At 45.8% G+C, this 25706-nt stretch overlaps 1 protein-coding gene across 5 annotated transcripts in view, besides 3 other annotated features; it reads left to right on the top strand.

Annotated features, from left to right (window-relative positions):
* Positions 12031-12080: an enhancer, noted in NCBI's record as "active region_24116". NCBI's record gives its function as "activates an Ori minimal core promoter by ATAC-STARR-seq in GM12878 lymphoblastoid cells {active_cell/tissue: GM12878}" and the evidence as "EXISTENCE:reporter gene assay evidence [ECO:0000049][PMID:35858748]".
* Positions 17406-17905: a silencer, noted in NCBI's record as "silent region_16968". NCBI's record gives its function as "represses an Ori minimal core promoter by ATAC-STARR-seq in GM12878 lymphoblastoid cells {active_cell/tissue: GM12878}" and the evidence as "EXISTENCE:reporter gene assay evidence [ECO:0000049][PMID:35858748]".
* The window catches only part of KIF13A (kinesin family member 13A), a 228510-nt gene continuing 220784 nt past the window's right edge, over positions 17981-25706 (top strand). For all 5 annotated transcript variants that reach the window (NM_001105568.4, NM_001105567.3, NM_001105566.3 and 2 more), the window contains exons 1-2: positions 17981-18207; positions 18472-18562. In NM_001105568.4, the coding sequence (NP_001099038.1) occupies positions 18153-18207; positions 18472-18562 (146 nt within the window). In that variant the 5' untranslated portion in view covers positions 17981-18152. The remainder of the gene's footprint in view (positions 18208-18471; positions 18563-25706) is intronic.
* Positions 18276-18395: a silencer, noted in NCBI's record as "silent region_16967". NCBI's record gives its function as "represses an Ori minimal core promoter by ATAC-STARR-seq in GM12878 lymphoblastoid cells {active_cell/tissue: GM12878}" and the evidence as "EXISTENCE:reporter gene assay evidence [ECO:0000049][PMID:35858748]".

The raw sequence follows: 25706 nt of genomic DNA, 5'->3' as shown, positions 1-25706 counted from the left end.
GTGATACCTGCAGTGCTACCTGGAAAGCAGAGCCAGTGAGCAGGGAAATTAACTGTCCATCAGCAAGCGCTTCATGTGGAAACTGGAACTCCTCCTAGCTCACATGAAGGCGCTTTCCCTGGAGAAAGATTTTGCAGGTTATTGTTTTCCTTTCATCTTGAAGACTTTCTGGAAGACAACTATACTCCGTGCAGGCAAAGATCTGCAGAAGTGTTTAATGAGGGCCTAGGAGGTTAGGAATCATAGTTCAAAAGAGCGGACTCACATCCTGAACCTTGAATCATGAATTTTGAATCCTGAATCCTGAAGCAAAGAAGGCCTTTTCATTTTCAGGAATTAATGCATTAATTAGTCACAGCTGCCTTAAATTCCAAACAAGATTAGTTTGTTATTTTCCCTAGTTATCTGTCCTCATATTAACATGACTAAAAGAAAAACATTTTTTTTTCACCCAGGCGCAGTGGCTCACACTGCTCCCAACACTTTGGGAGGCTGAGGTGGGGGGGATCACTTAAGGTCAGGAGTTTGAGACCAGCCTGGCCAACATGGCAAAACCCCATCTCTAATTCAACTACAAAAATTAGCTGGGCATGGTGGTGGGCGCCTGTAATTCCAGCTAACTGGGAGGCTGAGGCAGGACAATCACTTGAACCCGGGAGGCAGAGGTTGCAGTGAGCTGAGATTGTGCCACTGCACTCCAGCGTGGGTGACAGAGTGAAACTGTGTCTCAAAAAAGAAAAAGAAAAGAAGACCATTTTTTAAAAACCCAAATGTATCAGTATTCCTTTACTGACAAGAGCATTGCCCCGCCCGCACATCCCCAGTGAGGCTGGAGGGAGCCAGGAGTCGGGGGTGAGCAGGGTGCACTGATATCTTCAATGGCATGGAGCAAAGACACACTAGAGTATGACAGATTGGGAATTAAAGGAAGAACCCACTGGGTCCTTTCTCCACCAGGTTCCACAAGAGAATTAAGCCCTGATGCCCCATGGCATCCACTGTTCTAATGAATTAACTTCTCTACTGTGCATTCAGAGTGGTGCTCATTATGTACCAACCTTAGAAAAAATGAAAAGATTCACTCACATCATTTTCAGTGTTCTGGAATTTAGAAAAGGAGCCTGAGCTGCGCAAGTCTTCAGAGCATCACGTTGGAAGCGGTGGGTAGAAAGCCTGGCAGAGACTCAGAAGCAAAATGTTGAGAGCTGATGTTGAGTCAGATTGCTTCAGTTCTCTAGGTCTGCAACCTCTTGGGAAAGGAGTCTTTAAAAAAAACACCTCGACATCCATGAGCCCATTGCCCACAACCCCTCCATCTCGGTCACCCTGACCTCTGGCTCTGAGCCCTATTCTGACCAAATCAAGCCCAGCTATTTTTTTTTTTTTTTTTTTTTTTTTTTGTAGAGACGAGGTTTCGGTGTGTTGCCCAAGCTGGTCTCAAACTCCTGAGCTCAAGCCATCTGCCCACTGAAGCCTCCCAAAGTGTGGGGATTACAGGCCTGAGCCACCTTCCCCGGCCACCATGATGAATATTTGGGGGTGGATGGGGAGGGAGGGGAGTGAGAGGGGATAGAACCAACTTTTTCTGTGTTTTTTTTTGTTTTTGTTTTTGTTTGTTTTTTTTGAGATGGAGTCTCACTCTGTAGTGGCACGATATTGGCTCACTGCAACCTCCACCTCACAGGTTCAAGCCATTCTCCTGCCTCAGCCTCCTGAGTAGCTAGGACTATAGGTGTGTGTCACCACACCCTGCTAATTTTTATATTTTTATTTTTTTTATTCTATTTTTTTGAGACGGAGTTTCGCTCTCGTCACCTAGGTTGGAGTGCAGTGGCACGATCTCGGCTCACTGCAACCCCCACCTCCCGGGTTCAAGCAATTCTTCTGCCTCAGCCTCCCAAGCAGCTGGGATTAGAGGTGCCCACCACCACACCCAGCTAATTTTTGTATTTTTAGTAGAGACGGGGTCTCACCGTGTTGGCCAGGCTGGCCTCAAACTCCAGACCTCAGGTGATCCACCCTCCTTGGCCTCCCAAAGTGCTGGGATTATAGGCGTGAGCCACTGGGCCCAGCCTCTATTTTTAATAGAGACGGGGTTTCACCATGTTAGCCAGGCTGGGCTCAAACTGGTGACCTCAGGTGATCCGCCCACCTGGGCCTCCCAAAGTGCTGGGATTATAGGTGTGAGCCACTGGGCCCAGCCTCTATTTTTAGTAGGGACGGGGTTTCACCGTGTTAGCCAGGCTGTTCTCAAACTGGTGACCTCAGTGGATGCACCCACCTGGGCCTCCCAAAGTGCTGGGATTACAGGCATAAGTCACTGCGCCTGGCCTGTATTTTGTATTGTATGTTTTCTTCAATGTGGAACCAATCAGTATCTTGTCAATATAGTCAGCTGATTGACTGACAAAAAAAGAAAGTAAAAGAAAAAAGAAAAAAACTTGTGACCATGGCAGGGAGCTGGTGAAGCCTGTTTGGATACTCTCCTTCAAAGCAGCCATCTTGGGAGGCAACTCACATAGCAGTGATGGCATCTCCGCACTGGGTAGTGGGGGCTCTTCTTTCAGATCACCTTCACCGCCCTGAGAGCAGGGCAGTCTGGTTTGTTTTCACGCACACCTTGATTTTGGACCAACCCATATTTCCCAGCTGATTCACTCATGTTACTGCCAGACTTAACTGCAAATGACTTTAAATTACTTATGCAGGCCAGGCCTGGTGGCTTATGCCTATAATTCCAGCACTTTGGGAGGCTGAGGCAGGTGGATCACTTGAGGCCAGGAGTTCGAGACCAGCCTGGTCAACATGGTGAAACCTTGTCTCTACTAACAGTACAAAAATTAGCCAGGCATGGTGGTGCACCCTGTAATCCCAGCTGAGGCTGAGGCAGGAGAACCTCTTGAACCTGGGAAGCGGAGGTTGCAGTGAGCCAAGATCGAACCACTGCACTCCAGCCTGGGTGACAGAGTGACAAAGCGAGACTCTCACTCAAAAAAAAAAAAAAAAAAATCACTTATGCTATGAAGCCAGTCTTTCTTGATTTGTTACTGACCAACTATGTGACCTTAGTGATGTCTTAGATTTATCTGTCTAAGGCAACACGATTGGATTAAATAATCTCTAAGTTTCCCTCCAGCTTGAAAATACCAGGATTAGGTGATGGATGAAGACCTGCCAGTGCTGAGAATGCTTACCAGAATGTGTCACAGGCTCTGAAGGAAAAAAAATTGGGAACATCACAGTAATCCGTGCATATACTTTGCTGCTGAGTATTTTGATAAGAACAGAGACCCAATTATTCAATTAATTCATTCCGTGAAACTTCCATTGAGATGGTACTAGGTGTCAAGTTCTGTGCCATGGATTGGAGATATTCAGATGAGCAGAGGAAGTTTCCTACCATCTTCAACAACAGTAATAATAAAATGAGTACTTTTTACTTGGTTCCTTCCATGTGCCTGCCACTTTACACACTTGAATTCTTTTTCTCCCAGCTTTACTGAGGTATAATTCACAAATTAAAATTCAAGGTGTATCGTACACATTGTGTAATGATTACCATAAACAGATTAATTAACACATCCATTACCACACATAATTACCATTGTGTGTGAGTGTATGTGTGTGTGGTGAGTACACTTTAAGATCTGCTCTCTTAGAAAATTTCAGGTAAACACTACAGCATTATTAACCACAGCAACCATGCTATTCATCGGACCCTCAGAACTTATTCATCTTTATAAATGGAGTTTGTACCCTTTGACCGAATATGGAAACCTAAATGTCCATCGATGGATGAATGGATCCATCTATTTCCTCTATCCCCAGACCCTTAGCAACCACCATTTGACTCTGCTTTTATTAGTTTAACTTTTTAATTTTTTAATTTTTATTTATGTATTTTTTGAGACAGGGTCTGGCTCTGTTGCCCAGGATGGAGTGCAGTGACTTAATCATGGCTCACTGAAAGCTCCACCTCCTGGGCTCAAGTCATCCTCCCACCTCAGCCTCCCAAGTAGCTAGGACTACAGGCACATGCCACCACACCCGGCTAGTTTTTGTATTTTTTTTCTATTTTTGGGGGTTTCACCCTGTTGCCCAGGCTAGTCTCGAACTTCTGAGCTCAAGTGATCCACTCACCTTGGCCTCCCAAATTGCTGAGATTATAGGCATAAGCTACCATGCCTGACAGAGTTCAACTTTTTTAGATTCCACATATAAGACAATATTTCTTTCTGTGTCTAGCTTATTTCACTTAGCACATAACGTCCTCCAGGTTCATCCATGTTGTCACAAATGGCAGGATTTTCTTCTTTGTTATGGCTGAATGTGATTCAACTGTGTGTGTGTGTGTGTGTGTGTGTGTGTGTGTGTGTATCTATTCAGCCATCAATGGACACTTACATTTCCACATTTTGGTTACTGTGAACAACGCCGTAATGAACATGGGAGTGCAGATATCTCTTCAACATACTGATTTTATTTTATTTTATTTTATTTTATTTTATTTTATTTTAATTTTTTTGAGACAGAGTCTAGCTCTGTCACCCAGGCTGGAATGCAGTGGTGCGATCTCGGCTCACTCTCACTGCAGCCTCTGCCTCCTGGGTTCAAGCGATTCTCATGCCTCAGCCTCCAGAATAGCTGGGATTATAGGTGTGCGCCACCACACCCGGCTAATGTTTGTATTTTTTGTAGAGACAGGGTTTCGCCATGTTGCCCAGGCTGGTCTCAAACTCCTGGCCTCAAGTGATCTGCCCAAAGTGACCTCCCAAAGTGCTGGGATTACAGGGAGGAGACACTGTGCCTGACCAACATACTGATTTTATTTTCTTTGGATATATACCCAAAAGTGAGATTGCTGGATCATATGGTAGTTCCACTGTTAATTTTCTGAGAAGCCTTCCTACTACTGTTTTCCATAATGGCTATGCCAATCTACCTTCCCACCAACAGTATACAAGGGTTTCCTTTTCTTTACATCCTCACCAACACTTATATCTTTTCTTTTTGATAACAACTGTCCTAACAAGTGTGAGGTGATATGTCACTGTGGCTGTGATTTGCATTTCCCTGATGATTAGTAATGTTGAACACCTTTTCATTTTCATACACCTAGTCCTCTGTATGTCTTTTTTGGGAAAGTGTCTATTCATATTCAGGTCCTTTGCCCTCGCCTTTTTTTTTTAGATGGGGTCTCTGTCACACAGCAAGCTGGAGCACAGTAGTGTGATCATTAACTCACTGCAGCCTCAAATTCCTGGGCTTAAGGGATCCTCCTGCCTCAGCCCTCCCAAGTAGCTGGGACTACAAGTGCATATCACCGTGCCTGGCTAATCTTTGTCCATTTTTAATCAGGTTATTTTGTTCTATGCTATTGAATTGTGTCATTGGCTAATTCCTTAAGAAACAGTCCAATGGGGGAACAAACAAACTAATGGATTAAAACACACTGTGATAATGAAAGCTAACATTAATGCTTACTGTGTGAAGGCACAATGCTAGTCACTCTACATGGTGTGATGGTGATCATTAATTTTATGTGTCAACTTGACTGTGTCATGAGGTGCCAAATATTTGGTTAAACATGATTTCTGAGTGTGTCTGTGAGCGTGTGTTTGGATGAGATTAGCATTTGGTAGACTGAGTAACACAGATGGACCTCACCAAAGTGTGTGGGCACTACCCAATCTGTTCAGGGTCTCAATAGAACAAAAAAAGGCAGAGGAAGGCTGAATCCACTCTCTGCCTGGCTGCTTGAGCTGAGACATCAGTCTTCTCCTGCCCTCGGACTGGGACTCACGTCATTAGTGCTACTGGTTCTCAGAACTTCAGACTTGGTCTGTAATTAAACCACCAGCTTTCCAGGTTCTCCAGCTTGCAGATGGCAGATAGTGGCATTTCTCAGCCTCCATATTTGTGTGAACCAATTCCTTATAATAAATCTCTTTATATCCTATTGTTTTTGTTTCTCGGGAAAATGCTGACTAGGAGATTATCTCATTTCATAAATGAGATAATAGTAATAAAACTGCAAAGGAGTCGTATTATTAGTGACATTTTGTGGATGAGGAATCTGAGGTATAGAGAACGTGTGTAACTTGCCCAGTGTCGTGCACAGAGCAGGTACGTAAGGTTAAAAGTGGTTGCTCCAGACCAGGCACGGTGGCTCATGCCTGTAATCTCAACCCTTAGGGAGGACTGCTTGAAGCTAGAACTTAAGAGACCCTCCTGGGCAACATAGCAAGAGTTCATTTCTTTTTTTTTTTTTTTTTTTTTTTTGAGACGGAGTCTCGCTCTGTCGCCCAGGCTGGAGTGCAGTGGCAGGATCTCGGCTCACTGCAAGCTCCGCTTCCCGGGTTCACGCCATTCTCCTGCCTCAGCCTCCCGAGTAGCTGGGACTACAGGCGCCCGCCACTACGCCCGGCTAATTTTTTGTATTTTTAGTAGAGACGGGGTTTCACCGTTTTAGCCGGGATGGTCTTGATCTCCTGACCTCGTGATCCGCCCGCCTCGGCCTCCCAAAGTGCTGGGATTACAGGCGTGAGCCACCGCGCCCGGCCTGCAAGAGTTCAGTTCTAAAATAAATAAATAAAGTTAAATAAACTTTTTTAAAAAGTGCTTGCTCCGGAGGGCTAGGACAGGAGGGAGAAAAGGATGGGCAGTGGCTGATAATTTTACAAATCTTTCTACACTATTTGATATTTGAACTGTGTGAGGGTGTTATGGTATATGTTATTCACAAGTCTAGAAGCAGACAAGAGTCCCTGAAGAAGGAAGAGACAGGGCAGCAGGGTGTCCAAAGTGGCCTGGGAACAGCATCAAAGACAGGCTTTTCCAGCCCAAGACTTTCCCTGGGGTCATTTGTCCTTTCCTTCCATTTCATTCAGGTGCTGCAACCTTCTACGGTCTGGGGACAGGACATTTTGTTTATGACTCATAGGTGACAAGATAGTTCAAAAGAATCTCCATTCCTTGCCCCCATGTTTTCCACATCATGCCTTTATGTGTCATTGACTGTGCTTACTCTACACAGTCTCAGAGTTGTGTAAACCAGTTTGGTGGGAAGTGGCAATTCCCATCCTGAGAGAGACTTCACATTGGAGAGGACATTTGAGCTGGATCCAAAAAGTTCACAGGGTAGTTTGCCAAGCAGGGAAAGAGAATGCCTTAATCAGGAATCACTGGGTTGCAAGAAATGGAGATGAATTCAAACTAGCCAAAGAGAAAAGAAGGCAGGAAAAGAAGACAGTAACTTGAATTCCCAACTTTCCAGACCCAGGCTACAGCCCTGCAGCAACCAACACTGACAAAGTGTTCTGAAGGTGTGGAACAGCAGCCTAGTCTTTGCCTTCTCCACACTGGACCCACAAGCTCCTGCTTCCTCTTTTGGCCACTTCCTATGGTTGATTAGACATGGTTCTCCTCTGGAGGGAAACAGAAGGTAGGATCATAGGAGCAGGAGTCTGAATGATCTCATGCTTGGAGGTCGTGTGGAGATGCAGTCCGTATCTATTTTTTTGCCAAATGAAAGAAAATATCCTTTCTGAATGAACCACAGCAGCGGAGAAAGTGTGGTGGGTCTGAGGAAGTTAACTATCAACTCCCACCACACACAGGACCTGAAAATACCAAATTCCCTCCTTCTTTTCTCAGTGTCCCACCACCCGTGACTCTCTCCCTCCTCTCCCTCCTCCACTCTGCTGATCACTGTCTCTCCCCTGTATGCTCATCCCATGTGCTCAGTTGACCCAGCATTTTCTTCAGTCTGTCAACACTTTTTTTTTTTTTTTTGAGACAGAGTCTTGCTCTGTCACCCAGGTTGGAGTGTGATGGCTTGAGCTCAGCTCACTGCAACCTCTGCCCTCTGGGTTCAAGCAATTCTCTTGCCTCAGCCTCCGAGTAGCTGGGATTACTAGAGCCCACCACCATGCCTGGCTAATTATTTGTATTTTTAGTAGAGACGGGGTTTCACCATGTTGGCCAGGCTGGTCTCGAACACCTGACCTCAGGTGATCCATCCACCTCTGCCTCCCAAAGTGCTGGGATTGCAGGTGTGAGCCACTGCACCTGGCCAGACTGTCAAAACTTTTGATTCTTCTGTTTCTTCCCTCTTTATCAGGAACCCCTCCTGCACCCCCAACAAGTTCTGACTTTAATGGAACCTGTGTTCACTTAGAAGACAAGACAATGATAGCTAACCTCTGCTTGGTTGGCTATCATTGGGACATGGAACAAGGACATAAGCAAAGGGGTCTGAGGTGGTAATTTTTCATTATGTGTACAGAGAAAGACAACAAAACTCGTGTAGAGAGAGAGAAGAAGAAGAAATTAAACACAGAGAATGGGATGAAAGACCACAGAGCTGAAAAAAAAAGAAGGTAGTAACTTAAATTCCCAACTTTCTAGACCCTGGCTACAGCCCTTCATGAGATGTGGTAACTTCTCAAGGATGTGTTCTTCCAATGTACTTCTCTTTTCGCTTCAGCTAGTTTGAGTTCGTCTGTGTCTTCCAACTCAGTGATACGTGATTAAGGCATTCTCTTTCTCTGCTTGGCAAACTACCCGCTGAACCTTTAAGATCCAGCTCGAATGACCTCTCCAATGTGAAGTCTCCCTCAAGATGGGAATTGTCACTTCCCACCAACCTGGTTCACACAACTGCCAGAGTGTGTCCCACTTTAGATTGCATCTGGCTGTCCTCCCTTGCCTGGAAACCCCTTGAGGGCGGAGAAAGTGCTGTTTCTGAATTCCCAGCAACTCTCACAGTACCTCAGATGCTGCCACTCAGTACACATTTGATAAATGAATGGATTCACTGGCAGATGGATACAAGGAGCTTTTCTACTTTCTACCCATGTTGTCTGTAGAATAAAAGCTAAAGTTGACTTGGTCCCCTGCACTCCTTAGGAGCAGCTGAGTTCTTACAATTTCCAATCTGAAGTCTTCACATATGGATAAATCCCTCAGGAAAGGCCTATGTTTCGTTTTGGCCTTCTTCTTTCTTCTCACTTTGTTTTAGTTTTGGCTAGTTCCAAATGATTCCAAGGTTATACAACAGCCAGGGACAATCCCTCTCTCATCACAATGTGGGCTGGAGCCTAGTCAAGCTATTCCTAAATGCCAGTCCAGGCATGGGCTACTTCAGAATCAGGCCAGCCCAGACCTCCTAAACCTCTGCCTGAGGGAAGATTCTGGAATCTGTGCTTTAGCTGGTTCCAAAGGATGGTCAGCCAGGTGTGGGATCCTGGGGAGGTTATCGTGCTTATGAGGCTGGCTTATGGGTCTGTGCATTGTTAGAGACCACAGACCCTATTCTGATCAGTTGCTTGTCTTGCTCAGAAGAGGGCAAGGGAAGAGGGCTCTGCCAACCTGGGGCACAGATGGATATCTCCATCAAGAGATGTGTCCTGAACCTTCTCTTCCTCACTATTGTCCCTGCTGTTCCCCCGCTTCTGACCCTCCTCACTGCTAGCTTGGACAGTCCATTCCCAAATAATTTTCAGTGTCTGATTTCTCTGGGTTCAACTCTTTTGTATCCAATACTTGATTAGATTCCTAAAGCACAGCATTTCATTGTTTTCCTGCCCACGTGCTTAGTTCCTGCTAGTCTCTGCTCTTCCACAGCTATTCATATTGAAATTCTATTGCCTGTAATCCCAGCACTTTGGGAGGCCAACGCTGGCAGATCACTTGAGGTTGGGAGTTCGAGAATAGCCTGGCCAACATGGTGAAACCCTGTCTCTACTAAAAATACAAAAATTAGCCAGGCGTGGTGGTGTGCGCCTGTAGTCCCAGCTACTTGGGAGGCTGAGGCAGAAGAATCGCTTGAACTCGGGAGGTGGAGGTTGCAGTGACACAAGATCACACCACTACACTCCAGCCTCGGTGACAGAGTGAGACTCCATCTAAAAAAAAAAAGAAAAAAAAGAAAAAAATTCTATCCTTTCCTCTATAACAAGTGCTACAACGGTAAGAATAACAACTACCACTTGTTGAATGTCTGTTACCTATGTGCCAGCCACCACACCAGGCATTCTACATACATTATCTCATTTAACCCTCACAAGAACCCTGTAAAATGGGCATTATTATACCCACCTGACATACAAGAGACCCAAGGCTTGCATGTCCAAGGTAAACACAGAAAGTAACTAACAGAGGCTGAGCTGAGTGCCATGGCTCATGTCTGTAATCCCAGCACTTTGGAAGGGTGAGGTGGGTGGATGACTTGAGTTCAGGAGTTCAAGACCAGCCAACATGGCAAAACTCTGTCTCTACAAAAAAATACAAAAATTAGCTGTGTGTACTGGCATGCACCTGTAGTCTCAGGTACTCGGGAGGCTGAAGTGGGAGGATCACTTGAGCCTGGGAGGTCGAGGTTGCGGTGAGCTGAGATTGTGCCACGGTATTCCAGCCTAGGCAACAGAGTAAGACCCTTCAAAAAAAAAAAGAGTTACAGAGGCTGGAAAACAAACCACAGTGGGTCTGACATCAAAGTCTGCTTTTCCTACTCTGCTACTCTGAGCCCAATTTCCTTTACCCCTTACTTTTTTTTTTTTTTTTTTGGAGACGGAGTCTTGCTCTGTCACCCAGGCTTGAATGCAGCGGTATGATCTCAGCTCACTGAAACCTCTGCCTCCTGGGTTCAAGCAATTCTCCTGCCTCAGCCTCCTGAGTAGCTGAGACTACAGGTGTGTACCACCACGCCCAGCTAATTTTTGTATTTTTAGTAGAGACAGAGTTTCACCATGTTGGCCAGGCTGGTCTTGAACTCCTGACCTCAGGTGATCCACCCGCCTCAAACTCCCAACGTGCTGGGATTATAGGCATGAGCCACTGTGTGTGGCCTACCCCTTACTTCTGTCAAAAGGATTATCATCTTTTCTATCTCCCATAAATTTTGTAACTCTTTTGTGGAGACTACATATTGCATTGAACTGTAAAGCATAATATTTAGTGTTGTTTATATTGCTTATATTTTTTGTGCCAGAAAAATAGAGACGAGTCAAGGCAAATCCATTATCACCCTTAGAAAAACCACTCACGTGCACATTCCAATTATGTAGGTCGGCAGCTTTATTTCGGAAAACACATCTGAAGCAGTCACAGTGTGGAAGTGAGAGCTGTGGTTTTTGAAGACCTGCATTTAAATCCCAAGGCCATCACTTCCCAGGTATGTGACCTTGGGCAAGCTGCTTAAATTGTCTCTTTACTTTTTACCGGTTAGTTATAATGAAGGATGACAATAATAGTTTGTGCCTCATAGGGTTATTGAGAGGATTAAATAATGAAACTATGCTTGGTAAGTAGTCAGTGTTTAATAAATGTTATCTACTGTTAACTGTTGTGAAATATAAATGTTCTTGTAATAAATGGTTTGGAGTCCCTCCCTGGGGGAGAATTCTTTTTCCCTTTTCCATTGATGCTTGGCTTGACCGTGTGACTTCCTTTGTCCAATGAAAATTGAGAAGGGATGGGTACCATTCCTTTCTTTTTCTTTTTTCTTTTTCTCTTTTTTTTGAGACAGAGTCCTGCTCTGTTGTCCAAGCTGGAATGCAGTGGCATGGGCTTGGCTTGCTGCAACACCCACCTCCTGGGTTCAAGCGATTGTCCTGCCTCAGCCTCCCAAATACTGGGATTACAGGCGCTGCCACCACGCTTGGCTAATTTTTTGTATTTTTAGTAGAGACGAGGTTTCTCCATGTTAGCCAGGTTGGTCTAAACTCCTGACCTCGTGATCTGTCCGCCTCGGCCTCCCAAAGTGCTGGGATTACAGGCGTGAGCCACCGTGCCCAGCCAATGTGTACCATTTCTGAGCAAAACTTGAGGAGCTATTGTGTGGTCTGCCACCTTCTCCTTTCCTTCTGTTACAAAACCAGCGTTGACTCAGCTAGGGGCTGTTTCGTCAGCCTAGGACTCAGAAAGAAAATGATAGAAGCAAAACCACAAGCAGGCTGTGATGGACAAGTCATGCGTGTAGGGCATAAAGCTTTTTGTAAGCCACTGAGATTCAAGCGTTGTTGGTCACCATGTCATAACTTAGCCTAGGCTGACTCATGGTTGTTAAACTAGTTTATAGAAAGCCTCTTATTTAAAAGTATTTGACTGTTCTATGATTATTCTTTGATTCTCTGCAGACTTAAGACATTAGCAATTTTTAGATCAGCCTGGCAGCCTGATCTGCTACTTCTGACTGAAATAACTTTGGAACTTAGTCTTACATCTGAAATGGGATGATTCCAGAGTCCTTGGGATGTTTGTTATCTATCAGTTGTCTGCCAGTTCCTCAGAACCCATGGTGTTTCCAGTTTCTAAAGTAAAGCTATGCTAACAAGCTCTTCCTGACAAAGGAGCATAGACCAGGGCCCTCTTAGTGACTAGTACGCATGGCTGTATTCGTTGGCATATGGTGATCTGTGGGCATTGTAAGGCTGGCTGATGGCTGGGCCAGAGTGTTCTGTCAAGCAAGCCTCACCGGTCTTTCCATACCTCAGCCCCAGTCCAGGGCCTCTAGCCAGGCTGGGCCAGCTCTCTGATGGGCCTTTACCTGTATGCAGTGGGCCCACACTCTGAGCTTCTTCTCCTCGCTGACTCCAGAATGGGATACTGTCCAGCATCCCAAACTCTCCTGTTGTCATGATAGAAAAGTCCTTGCATCCCTCCTGAGTAGCTGGGACTACAGGCACACACCACCAGATTGTTGTTGTTTTAAGACACTAAATTTTGGTGGGATTTACTACAACAGTAACCAGAACAGCATGTTCTAGGGGAATGGAAGTCTTCAGAAGGACATGAAAGCCAGCCTCAAGTATCTGAGGGGCTTCAGGTATAGCAGGAGTTAGATTTGGAGGCTGGGCATGGTGGCTCATGCCTGTAATCCCAGCGCTTTGGGAGGCTGAGGCAGGTAGATCACTTGAGGTCAGGAGTCTGAGACCAGCGTGGCCAACATGGCGAAACCCCTTCTCTACTAAAAATACAAAAAATTAACCATGTGTGGTGGTGTGTGCCTGTAATCCCAGCTACTCGGGAGGCTGAGGCAGGAGAATCACTTGAACCTGGGAGGCGGAGGTTGCAGTGAGCCGAGGTTGCGCCACTGCACTCCAGCCTGGGTGATACAGCCAAGACCCCATCTCAAAAAAAAAAAAAAAAAAAAAAAAAAAGGGAGTTAGATTTGGCATGGGAAGCAGGAGAAGGCAGCACTTCTGTCACTAGGTGGAATGCCCAGGGATGCAAATCTGATTCTTCATGGAGGCCTTTCCTAGGCGAAGAACTTGAGGAGTCCCCTGACTGAGTTCAGCTTCTCTTCCAATTTGAGAACTCTGTCAGCGGAATCCAAGCACGGAATGGGTGGCCGTTTTGGGGGCTGTTGTAAAAAGGTCCACAGGACTCCCAAAGGCCCTTCAAACGCTAAAAAGACATAATTCCTAATGATGTAAGGCTAAACTGTTTTGAAAAAGAAATGTTTAGTAAACTTTTATTTATTTATTTATTTATTTATTTTTGAGACAGAGTCTTACTCTGTCACCCAGGCTGGAGTACAGTGGCATGATCTTGACTCACTGCAACCTCTTTTCTCCCCGGTTCAAACAATTCTTATGCCTCAGCTTCCCAAGTAGCTGGGATTACAGGCATGTGCCACCATGCCCAGATAATTTTTTTGTATTTTTAGTAGAGACAGAGATTCACTGGGTTGGCCAGGCTGGTCTTGAACTCCTGGACTCAAGTGATCCGCCCACCTCAGTCTCCCAAAATGCTGGGATTATAGGTATGAGCCACCATGCCCAGACTAGTAAACTCTTCATAGAAGAGGTGAGGACTAATCTGGTCTTTAAAGTTGGAAAGGGTCAGGAAAGCAGAAAGAAGAGTCACTCTGCAAAGAACCAATGGGAACTGTTTTTCTAACCTGTAACACCAAATGAATCATGCCCCTCTCACCTTAAGACCTATTCTTCTTCTCAACTATTCGTGGTGTTATGGGCCATCATCCTCCCAATCCCTTTCTCAGTCACTTGCAATCCTTTGCCTCCCTCAATCTTCACATCCCATTGGTTGCTAAATTGTTCCACTTTTCTCGCAGTAAGTTCTGCGTCTGTTCCTTCTGCTCCATTTGTGCTATCATTGGCTTTGTTCATGCTATCATCACCTCTGGATGATGATATCATCACCTCATCTGGATGACTACAATAGTCCTCTGGATGGATACAGTGTTGCCAAATTAATTACCCTGAATCAATGCTCTGAATATGTCAATCCCTGGCTCCAAATCCAAATGCTTCATTCAGTTCCTATTGCCTTTACAATAAACATGAAATTTCTTAGGCACTCAAGGCTTTCATGATCTGGCAGAGAATGAGGGAGAAGGAGAAAATGAGACAGAGAAGGGATTGATTAAATTTTGTATATCCTCCCTTCCTTTCTTCCTTCCTTCCTTTTCTTTCATCCTTCCTCTCTTTCTTTATTTTTTTGAGACTGAGTCTCACCCTGTTGCCCAGGCTGGAGTGCAGTGGTACAATCATGGCTCACTGCAGCCTTGACCTAGGCTTTCTAGCAATCCCCCCTGCTTCAGCCTCCCAAGTAGCTGGGATCACAGGCACACGCCATCACGCCTGGCTAATTTTTTATTTTTTGTAGAGACAGAGTCTCCCTATGTTGCCCAGGCTGGTCTCAAACTCCTGGGCTCAAGTGATCCTCCCACCTTTGCCTCCCAAAGTGCTGAGATTTCAGGCATAAGCCACTGCGCCTGGCCTCTGTATTAGTTTCTTAAGACTACTGTAACAAATGACCATGAAATGGGTGGCATAAGACAACAGAAATTTAGTGTCTCAGAGTTCTGGTGGCTAGAAGTCCCAAATCAAGGTGTCAGCAGAGCCGTGTTTCCTCCGGAGGCTTCCTTTCCTCCTCCTAGCTTCTGGTGGCTCCTGGCAAACCTCGGTGTTCCTTGGCTTGTGGCTGCATCACTCCAATCTCTGCCTCTGTCTTCACATGGTCTTCCTCCCTGTGTATCCAAATCCCCCTCTCCTTTCTCTAATAAAGACACTAGTCAGGCCAGGTGCGGTGGCTCACACCTGTAATCCCAACACTTTGGGAGGCCGAGGTGGGCAGATCACCTGAGGTCAGAAGTTCGAGAGCAGCCTGGGCAACACAGCAAAACCCCATCTCTACTAAAAATACAAACATTAGCTGGGCATGACGGCACATGCCTGTAGTCCCAGCTACTTGGGAGGCTGAGGCAGGAGAATCGCTTGAACCTGGAAGTGGAGGTTGCAGTAAGTTGAGATCGTGCCACTGCACTCCAGCCTGGGCAACAGAGCGAGACTCTGTCTCAAAAAAAAAAAAAAAAAAAAAGACACTAGTCATTAGATTTAGGGACCATCCTAACCCAGTATGGCCTCATCCTAATTTTATTTCTGCCAAGACCCTGTTTCCAAATAAGGTCACATTCACAGGTACTGGAGGTTATGGCTTGTACATACCTTTTTGGGAGTTACAAATTCAACCCTCTACAATTCCCACTGATAGAAACTACCAGAGCAATGGCTTAGCATAGGGATGGTATCTTGCTTGTGAAAAGGTCCTGGATAAAGAATTTCAGGAATGGTGGGAGGTAATATTAAACAGAGAGGTTTTTTGTTTGTTTGCTTGTTTTTGAGGTGGAGTTTGGCTCTTGTTGCCCAGGCTGTAGTGCAACGGTGCGATCTTGGCTCACCGCAACCTCCGCCTCCCAGGTTCAAGCGATTCTCCTGCCTCAGCCTCCCAAGTAGCTGGGATTACAGGCATGTGCCATCACGCCTGGCTAATTTTGTATTTTTAGTGGAGACGGGGTTTCTCCATGTTGGTCAGGCTGGTCTCGGACTCCCGACCTCAGGTGATCTGCCAGCCTCGGCCTCCCAAAGTGCTGGGATTACAGGCGTGAGCCACCGTGCCCAGCCTGAGAGTTTTTTGAACAATAGAATACCATGCACGATTAAAGGATAAAATTTTAATTTTGTGAAAAATCAGTCTGGAAGCTGGATTTAGGAGTGATTAGAGGAGGCAAAGCTAGGAGGGTTAACAGGATGTCTCAGCAGCCCAAAAGTGAAGAGGTAAGCACAGACCTAGATTCTTAGCCTCAGAGGGCTGGAAATTTCACCTCTTTCTGAGCAGCAGCTGAGAGCCTGTAGCCTAAAGCCTACAACAGTGTTTGTAACATAGTAGGGCGCTCAGAACACATTTGTTGAACAAGTGAATGGACAGGTAAAGTGAGATTGCAGCAGCAGGAATGGAGAGGAGGAAAGATGCAACAGGCCCTTCAGAGGTAGACTGAGATAGCTGGCTCTACAATAAGGTGGGGCTGAAGTATTTGTCCTTCAGTGTACACAGGGGACTGGTTCCAGGAACATCCAAAACCATGCATACTCAAGTCCCACAGTCAGCTCTGCAGAACCCACAAATAGGAAAAGTTGGATCTCTCAGTTTTGAACCTGCCAAATACTGTCTTTTCTTTTTTCTCCCTTTTTTTTTTTGAGACAGGGTCTTGCTTTGTTGCCTAGGCTGGAGTGCAGTGGTGCGAACATGGCTCACTGCAGCCTCAACCTTCCAGGCTCAAGTGATCCTCCCACCTCAGCCTCTCCAGTAACTAAGACTACAGGCACCTGCCACCATGCCCGGCTATTTTTTAAATTTTTATGTTTGGCAAGATGGGGTTTCTTTACATTGCCCAGGCTGGTCTCGAACTCCTGGCCTCAAGTGATCCTCCCGCCTCGGCCTCCCAAAGTGTTGGGATTACAGGCGTAAGGCACTGTGCCAGAGCACGAATACTGTATTTTCAATCAGATTTTGGTTGAAAAAAAGCCACGTGTAAGTGGACTCGTGCAGTTCAAACCCGTGTTGTTCGAGGGTCAAGCGTAGCATCACCTCGGTTGGAGGCGGACGGACCCCTCTCCTAGCACCTGCCGTACACTGTCTAGCATAATAAGTCTCCACGCCCTCTCTTCCACCTTAGCGTGTGCCTCTGCATCATGCTATTCATGTTTCTGTGTGTCCTCAACAGCACCCTGCACACAGTAAAACCTCAATGCATCTTCCAATAAGTGGATTTCTAGATTTAAGCAAAATCGAAAGATTCCTGGATCTAAACTCTGGATTTTTGACTTCTGTACGCTTCAAAATGCCTGGCACTCGGTGAGCGCCCCTTAAGCACTTGTTGAACCAAACAGAATAAATCGGATTCGCCCAGTTCCGCCCTGGCAGCGAGGTCTGCATTTGGCAGGATGACAGAATCCATTGCTATTAAATTCTTATGTAAGAGTTAATGGCCCTCCCAGCCCACTTGACATCCCTCCCGAGACAAGAGAGGCCGGGAAAGGAAGGGAGAGCACTATTTACAAACATACACTGTTTCGGTGGTGGATTCACAGATTCATTTCTAGTCTCGGTTCACCACAGAGATCTTAAAATACCGCTGCAGGCTCCGTGTGGGACAGAGGGGGCGGCGTGCCGGGACTCGGAGGGGAAGGCCTGCGCACCCAGCGCGGCGAGCCGTGGTCCTTGCTGCCGTCCCGGGGCTCCGGGTGGCAGCGGCCCCAGAAGGCGGCTCGAGCTCACGGCGGTGTCCGGGGGGGGGCCCCGCGGGCGCCGGTGCAGGCTTGGCCTGGGAGGTCCCCTGGGGAAACAATGCGTCCCGCCCCGGACTCCAGCCTCCCCTAAGCGCCGCGCTGCTCGCCGCTCCTCTCACTGCCGTCCCGCCGCTCCAGGGGGCGCCGCGCGTGGCCGTGTCCGGCCTCTCCCGAGCCCCGGCGGGTGACGGGCGCGGAACATGGCGGCGCGGGGCCCCGGGCAGCCGCGAGGGGCCGCGGCGCTGCGGTCTCGGCTGGGGCGGCGCGGCTAGAGCTGCGCCTGGGCCCGCCGGCGAGGCCTCCTCCCCGCCCGCCGCCGCCGCCGCCGCCGCCGCGCCCCGCCCCGCGCGCCCGCCCCTCCCCGGGCCGCGGCCGTGCCCCGCGTCGCGCTCCCCCGGGATGGCCCGCGCGCCTCGGCGCTGCCTCTCGGAGCTCACGGCGGAGCGGCGGCGGCCGCGCTCGAGGGGCGCGCGGCTGCAGCGGCGGCGGCGCCGCGCGTGAGGGGCCGCCTAAGGCCGAGCGGGCGCGGCGAGCGGCCGGGCGAGCGCAGCCAACATGTCGGATACCAAGGTAAAAGTTGCCGTCCGGGTCCGGCCCATGAACCGACGAGGTGAGGAGCTTTCCGCTCTTTTTTATTTCTGCTCGGGCTGAGGGCGGGGGCAACTTTAGAAACTGCGGGGCCGGGACGGCGAGAGCGCGGCCGGGGCCGGGGGGCCGGGGCGGAGGCGGCGTCCGCGCTGGCCGTGGTGCCCGGGGCGCCGTCTCCAGGCTCGGCCGCCTCCAGGGACGGAGCCCCGCTCGGCGCGGCTGGCGGGCGGGCGGGCTGGAGGCGCGGATGCTGGACTTTGCAACGTCCCTTTCTCTCTGCTTTCAGAACTGGAACTGAACACCAAGTGCGTGGTGGAGATGGAAGGGAATCAAACGGTCCTGCACCCTCCTCCTTCTAACACCAAACAGGGAGAAAGGTAAAGCGGGTTCCGAGAGGGCGGCTGGGAGGATCCAGCCTCGCGGGGTCCCGCAAGTTTGAGCCAGGAAAATGGGAGTGCTCTTTCCTATTGTTAGGAGGACGGCTTCAAGTTTGTCGCCGGCTCCTGTTTGAAGCTGTTGCAAGTCCAAGTTCCTCTCCTCCCTCGCCCCCCTTCTCCTCCATCTAGAGCGGCGGCAGGCAGGGCACCCTGGCCACAGCACCAGTCAGCTGAGCCCGGGCGGGCTGCGAGGCACCCGGGAGGGAGAGGGCCGGATGGGACCCCATAGGTGATTCGTCCAGCGGCCACATTTTACAGACAGGAAAACTGAGGCCCGAGGCGGGCAGGTGACCAGCCCACGACCTTATTGTTCGTGGAACCCAGTGTCCGTGATTCTTTTCATCACTGCAGGGTTTGTTTCCTTTGGCAGAATTGTTTAGGGACAGTGTGTCTAAAATGGGAGGAAAAAATAAAGCAAAAGTCTTGTACGATGTAGACTCAGGCTGGACTAGTTAGTATCTATTTTAGTTGTTGTTGCTGAGTTGAGATAATGCCTCAATGTAATGCGCGAATTTTGATTTTCAAAGAAACAAAAGTAGGGCCCTGAACTGTATAGACACTGAGGGATGTTTAAAAAGGGGCTGTATTTACTAGATGGCAACATATTTGCATTTGAAAAGTGGTAACTGTTGGATCCTTATTAATTCCGTTCTGTTCCATGCAACAGTATGGGTTAACGCCCCAAAATAATTTGAATATTTGGCATTTTTCTAGTAAGCCTCTGAGAAGAAATCGGTTGGAATTCATTCAATATAATAATGCAGTAGCTTGTAAATATATATATGTGAAAAAACGGGAGAGTTTACAATATTAATTTTCATTGGAAATGAATATGAGTTTGTGTTTCCACGAATCACCTGTTGATCGATGGAATACAATTTAGTGAATTTCCTTCTTCAGAGATTTTCACTGAAGAGAGACTCTGAAGCAGGGTTTGTGACATTATTGCTTAGAGAAGCAATGCCTCCATTCTATAATGTGTGGTGTTCAAGCTCAGTTTTGCCAAATTTGGGGAAAGAAATCATGAGGCGATAAGATTGGGGATTCTTTGCTTTTCGTGTTGAGCATAGCAGTTTTTATCCAGTTTGCAAACATTCTGCTACCTTTAGCAGATTCTGGTGGTGATATTAAATAGCTAAGCTATATGTAAAATGTTGTGTTTAACACTGAATGTAGTGTTTATTGTACATTGTACTGAATGTTGTCTAGTAATGGATGTATTTTTAGATGCATTTATAGCAGTGTAGATAGTATAGCATATTTCATGGTGATAGTAAGTAAACTCATTGAGTACATTAAATATTTACAGATTAAATTAGATGCCCATATCACCAACGAATGTCCCCTCCCCCCACCCCCCCGCAAACTGCATATTGTTTCGGGAAAAAATTCTGTTGGGTCAGATTCTTGAAAGCAGTCTGGGGGAACAGGTAGAATACTTTTTAGCTCCTGTTGTGTAGCCGTTACTTGTTTTCCTTGCTGGCTTGGCACCTGCTCCTTGTCACTCTTAACCATAAGCAGTGCGACTGTTAGCTACTGTTTAATGACATGAAGTGTTGTCATTTGTGAAGAGAAACAGATTTGATTTTGTGGGATTTGGTACAATCTATAACTGTGGACAGTTGGTTCCAAATGCTAAGTAATCAGTTGATCATTTTTCGGGCTGAACCACGTTAGTTACTAATCAGGATCTTTTAGGTAAAGATTTGAAGGGTGATTTTGGGATCTATTCATCTGCTTACTTACGATAGTCCCTTATCTGGAGTTATAAAAATAGCATTGAAATATGGGTACTCTCGTGTTTTGTCCTTCTGACGGATCTAATTCTTTGAATAGCAGATGAGCTTTCTGTGGGATTCTGTCTTGAGTACCGGTCATTTCATTTACAGACAAACTGAGTAGTCAACAAAACAGTGCTCCTTGTACATTAGGATTACTGTCTTTGCACAGATGAAGACACCAAATGCATTTTTATTTTCATTATGCAGCTTGGTTTCATATTTCTCCACAGACTTTTCCCTTAAAGTAACAGTGCATTTAAAAATAGAAACAATTCCTCCCTTGGGCTCTGGGTTGATTAATTGCAGCAGTGCTTCATGCTATGTTTGCAATTCATTTCTGTCATTGGTTTTTAGATAGTGCTCAGGGCAGGGCAAAGGTGAAGAGTAGAATACTGAGAATGTTATTATTTTTCATATCTGCAAGTCCAAGGTTTGAAGTGTAAGAGGTCTTTAAATGCATATTGGCAAACCTGTGTCAAATTGAGAATTACTGTTTTTCTGAAAGTTGCAAGAAATTACCAATGAATTAGCCATGGATAGAAATTGAAGGTTAGTGGGTGAAAGTTTTCAGTCTTACCAGTAAAAACAAGTGAGAATGCATTGACGTCCAGGGAAAAAAAAAAAAAACAGATGGGGTCAGCTTTCATTGTTTCCCCATTTTACAAAACCAAAGCCAAGACTGTGTAGCTAGGACTAAAAGATCAGAGGATCTCTGAGGTTAAAGATGTTTGTTTTGTTGCTGAAATTCTAGTATTGTAATACATTGCATAGGTCCAGGTTAGTAGTTGATATGTATACTGATCACCATTCTGAAACATTAAGACACATGGATTTGTTTCTTAAAATACCATTGCATTGCTCTCCAGGAGACATTTATGAAGTTCAGATCATTTCAGTACCATGCTCAGCATAGGGGATTCAAAGATACTTGTGGATCCAGTACCTACACCAGAGTCACTCACCTTGGAGAGAAGGAGGAGAGAGAGGAAAAAGTAGTTAAAATACAACGTGGTAAATTACGCTGGTGTATACTTTTGCCATTTCATGAACCACATAATTTCAAAATTCTCTGTTTCCTCTTTCTCTCCCTGGAGGCTGTGAACTGCTTGAAGGCAGGTAGGTACCTTATCCTACTTCTCTTTGTACCTCATGCTCCTGCATACTGGCACTTAGCAAGGGCTTAGCAAATGTGATGGGAGCATTGAGGAGGGGCTGTGGATGCTACCCAAGGTCCTGTCAACTTGCCAAGACAGGTGGTGTTTGTGTGGTCTTATGGATGCTGAGAGCATAGGTTCACTTTTGCAAGACGAGGAGAGAGTCCTTTGCCAATGAAAGTGAAAGCATACCTGCAACACATTGCTTCTGGGTGCTTGTATGTGTGTGAGGTGAGGGGGTGGAGTACCATTCAGAAGCAAGGTAGTTCTGGGCTGGGTGAGGTAGCTCACACCTGTAATCCCAGCACTTTGGGAGGCTAGGGTGGGCGGATCTCTTGAGGCCAGGAGTTTGAGACCACCCTGGCCAACACGATGAAACCCTGTCTCTCCTAAAAATATAAAAATTAGCCGAGTGGTACATACCTATAATCCCAGTTGCCTAGGAGCCTAAGGCAGGAGAATCGCCTGAGCCTTGGCGATGGAGGTTGCCGTGAGCTGAGATCGTGCTACTGCACTCTCGCCTGGGCAACGGAGTGAGACTGCATCTCAAAAAAAAAAAAAAAAGCAGCAGCAGCAAGACAGTTTTGGGGGTGGGGTGGGTGTGGGTGAAGGGATGGAGTGGGGTGAAGGGAGCAATGGAATGAGAATCCCTAACTTGCTAAAAAGGGTGACATACACAGTGAAATGTCTTCCTCTTCACCCCTGCTGTCATCCCTACTTTGCCCATCTCTTCACCTCTCGGAAAATGGGTAGCCACTGTCATTTAGTTCTCATGCCTTTTTTTCCAGATATATATGTGCATTTTTAATACAACTATATACACAAATAAGTATTTATATATTTTTTAAGAAATATCTTTGGTAGCTTTCTTTTTTTTTTTTTTTTTGAGATGGAGTCTCGCACTGTCACCTGGGCTGGAGTGCAGTGGCGTGATCTCGGCTCACTGCAACCTCCGCCTCCTGGGTTCAAGCGATTCTCCTGCCTCAGCCTCCCGAGTAGCTGGGATTACAGGCGGCCACCACCACGCCCAGCTAATTTTTTTGTGTATTTTTAGTAGAGACGGGGTTTCACTATGTTGGCCAGGCTGGTCTCAAACTCCTGACCTTGTAATCCGCCTGCCTCGGCCTCCCAAAGTGCTGGGATTACAGGCGTGAGCCACCACGCCTGGCCCCCTTTGGTATCTTTCAATATCAGCATATTAAGACTTACTCATTCTTTTTTACATTCAGTGTGAATGGTAGTGGTGGTTTTTAAAATATAGGTGGTTGGCTTACGGGTCTGATCCCCGTGACTTTTAGGAAGTGATGCTGTGCTGTGAAAAGAATATAGTGGAACTTGCTTTCTACAGAAGTTTTTGTTCTTAATTATTTTATGTAAGTGAATTGTAAGGTAAGACTCCAAAATAAAGTGCATATCTAACCTACTGTGTAAAAATAAAATGTTGGGCTAAATATGGGCTCTCGGTAGAAGAGCATGAAAGTTTTTAGCTTCCTGTTCATTTTTTCCATATGGCAGGATGAACAATACACCTTGCAAATCGTGTGAGGGAGGGTCAGTTGAAGAAAGCTTCCTCTTACTAAACTTTGTATGTATTTTTTAGTTTATTCACCAGCGGTATCCCTGTCTGAACATCTGAAATCTAAAATGCTCCAAATCCTGGGGGCCAGACACAGTGGCTCACATCTGTAATCCCAGCACTTTGGGAGGCCAAGGCAGGCAGATCACCTGAGGTCAGGAGTTCGAGACCAGCCTGGCCAACATGGTGAAACCCTGTCTCCACTAAAAAAATACAAAAGTTAGCCGAGTGTGGTGGTGCACACCTATAATCCCAGCTACTTAGGAGGCAGAGGCAGGAGAATCACTTGAACCCAGGAGGCCGAGGTTGCGGTGAGCTGAGATCGAGCCATTGCACTCTAGCCTGAGCAACAAGAGTGAAACTCTGTCTCAAAAAAAAAAAAGAATGCTCAGTTGGTAAGTATATAATGCATATATTCCAAATTCAAGAAAAATTCAAAATCCAAAACACTTCTGGTCCCAAGCATTTTAGATAAGGGCTATTCAGTCTGTAAATATTGCAAGTTTTTATTTCTAAGCTGGCTTCCTCCGCCATTCTGAAGGCTTCTAGGATGGTTCCTTGGCTCCTGTGTCTCTGTAGACCAGAAATTTAAATATTAGTGAAAGTCATACATAATTAGAAAGATAAGTCACCTAAGAAGCAGTAATACTCCACATTATAAAATCACCTGTGGGACTTTGAATTCTCTTTTCTGTGTTGTTATTCTTCTCTCTGCCCATATTACAGAGTTAATTGTAAGAAAGCAAAGAATAAGGCCGGACACAGTGACTCAGTGACTCACACCTGTAATCCCAGCACTTTGGGAGCCTGAGGCAGGCAGATCACGAGGTCAGGAGATCGATATCATCCTGGCCAACATTGTGAAACCCCATATCTACTAAAATACAAAAAATTAGCCTGGCGTGGTGGTGTGTGACTATAGTCCCAGCTACTCGGGAGGCTGAGGCAGGGGAATGCTTGAACCCGGGAGGCGTAGGTGGCAGTGAGCCGAGATCATGTCACTGCACTCCAGCCTGGCGACAGAGCGAGACTCTGTCTCAAAAAAAAAAAAAAAAAGAAAAAAGAAAAACAAAACTAAAAGTAATTATAATGCATTGTAGTTTAGAGTGGTTATATTATTTTGTTGACAGTCAACAGTTAAAAATACATTTTACATTATGAACCTGTTTATGTGGATATGTATATTTCAAAGGTTATGAAAAAATACTCTTAACTGTATGCAATGTCTTTTATTTTCTATCCCCTTCTGTTAGAATTCATTAAAAAAATAATGGCTATGTCTTACCGAATTATTTCTCAACCCACTAATGAGTCATAAACTTATATTTTGAAAAACATAGGTTTAGTTAGTAAGAGCTTGGGCTCTGGGTTTTTGTTTTTTTCTTAACCTGTATACACAGTTTAAATTGTGAAGTGGTCATATAATTTATAAAGGCTGTGTTTAAAAAAAAAAAAAAAGTCCCCCTCTTCATTTCTTTCCCCAGAGGCAACCACTTTTAGTGGTTTTAATTCATTCTTTTGGAATTTCCCACCGTATTTCTGAATAACATGCTGGTAATGCTTGGTTTTTATTTGCTCTCTTTGTTCTCTTTCTCTGCTTTATTCTCACCTCACCCCCAAATTCTTCCCACCTGCTCCCTATTTTCCCAATATAGTAATTTTGGTTGGATCAATATTTAGTGTTGACATTATTTATATGACTCTACCGAACATTGTTGACATTGAGCTATGAATTGTTCAATGAATTCTTGTCATACAAAACTTTTTGTTTTGCCTGGCGTTAATGATTGTTGCTTTTTTCCCTCATTTTTCTTTATTTTGCTTTTTTTTCTGTGTACTTAATTACTTTAGCATCCAAACTCTCTGCCACTTCCCGAAATCTTTTTTCAAGACTTTCAAACATATCAGGTGCTCTCTAGAGTTCCTCTTCTTAGAGACATTTCTCCTTGGCCCTTCTTACGTGTTCTGTTGTGATCTGGTAGCCCTCTTGGCTTGGAGCGGTTGCCTCCCAGGGGTTTCCCACACCATCATTCAGGGGATTCCCTTGACCTGTCTTCTGTGTGGAATCTCCTATTTTTCTATTTTCCTTCCCTTCTTCTTGGTTTCCTGCCTCCATTTTGTAGAGCACATCCTTCAGTAGTTTCCTAAGAAAGCATGATTGGAAGGTGAAGTTTTTTGAAACTATGAAAAGTATCTTAATTCTACCTACTCACCTTATTGATAGTGTGGCTGTGTATCATATTCTACTTTAAAGACATTATTCCACTGTCTTTTATCTTTCAGTGCTTCTGTTGAGAAGTTATTTGGGTTTCTAATCCTTTGGACGTGACCTAGTTTATTCCCCTCTGGAATCTGTTAGAAGTTTTTTCCCTATTTTTGTTAAATCACAACAGTGGGCCTTTTTGACCTGGAAACTCCTGTCTTTCAGTTCTGAAAAAAAAATTATTGAATTAGTTCATTAATAAGACCTTTCTCTTTGTTCTCTGTTTTTTTCTGGAACACCTCTTAGGACATGGGGTTTCCTGAACTGGTCTTCTGATGGTTTTATTTTTTCTTTTTACTTTTCACTTCTT

This window comes from Homo sapiens, chromosome 6, assembly GCF_000001405.40.
Source record: "Homo sapiens chromosome 6, GRCh38.p14 Primary Assembly".
Taxonomy (NCBI): domain Eukaryota; kingdom Metazoa; phylum Chordata; class Mammalia; order Primates; family Hominidae; genus Homo; species Homo sapiens.
This window is presented reverse-complemented; position numbering and strand designations above follow the sequence as displayed.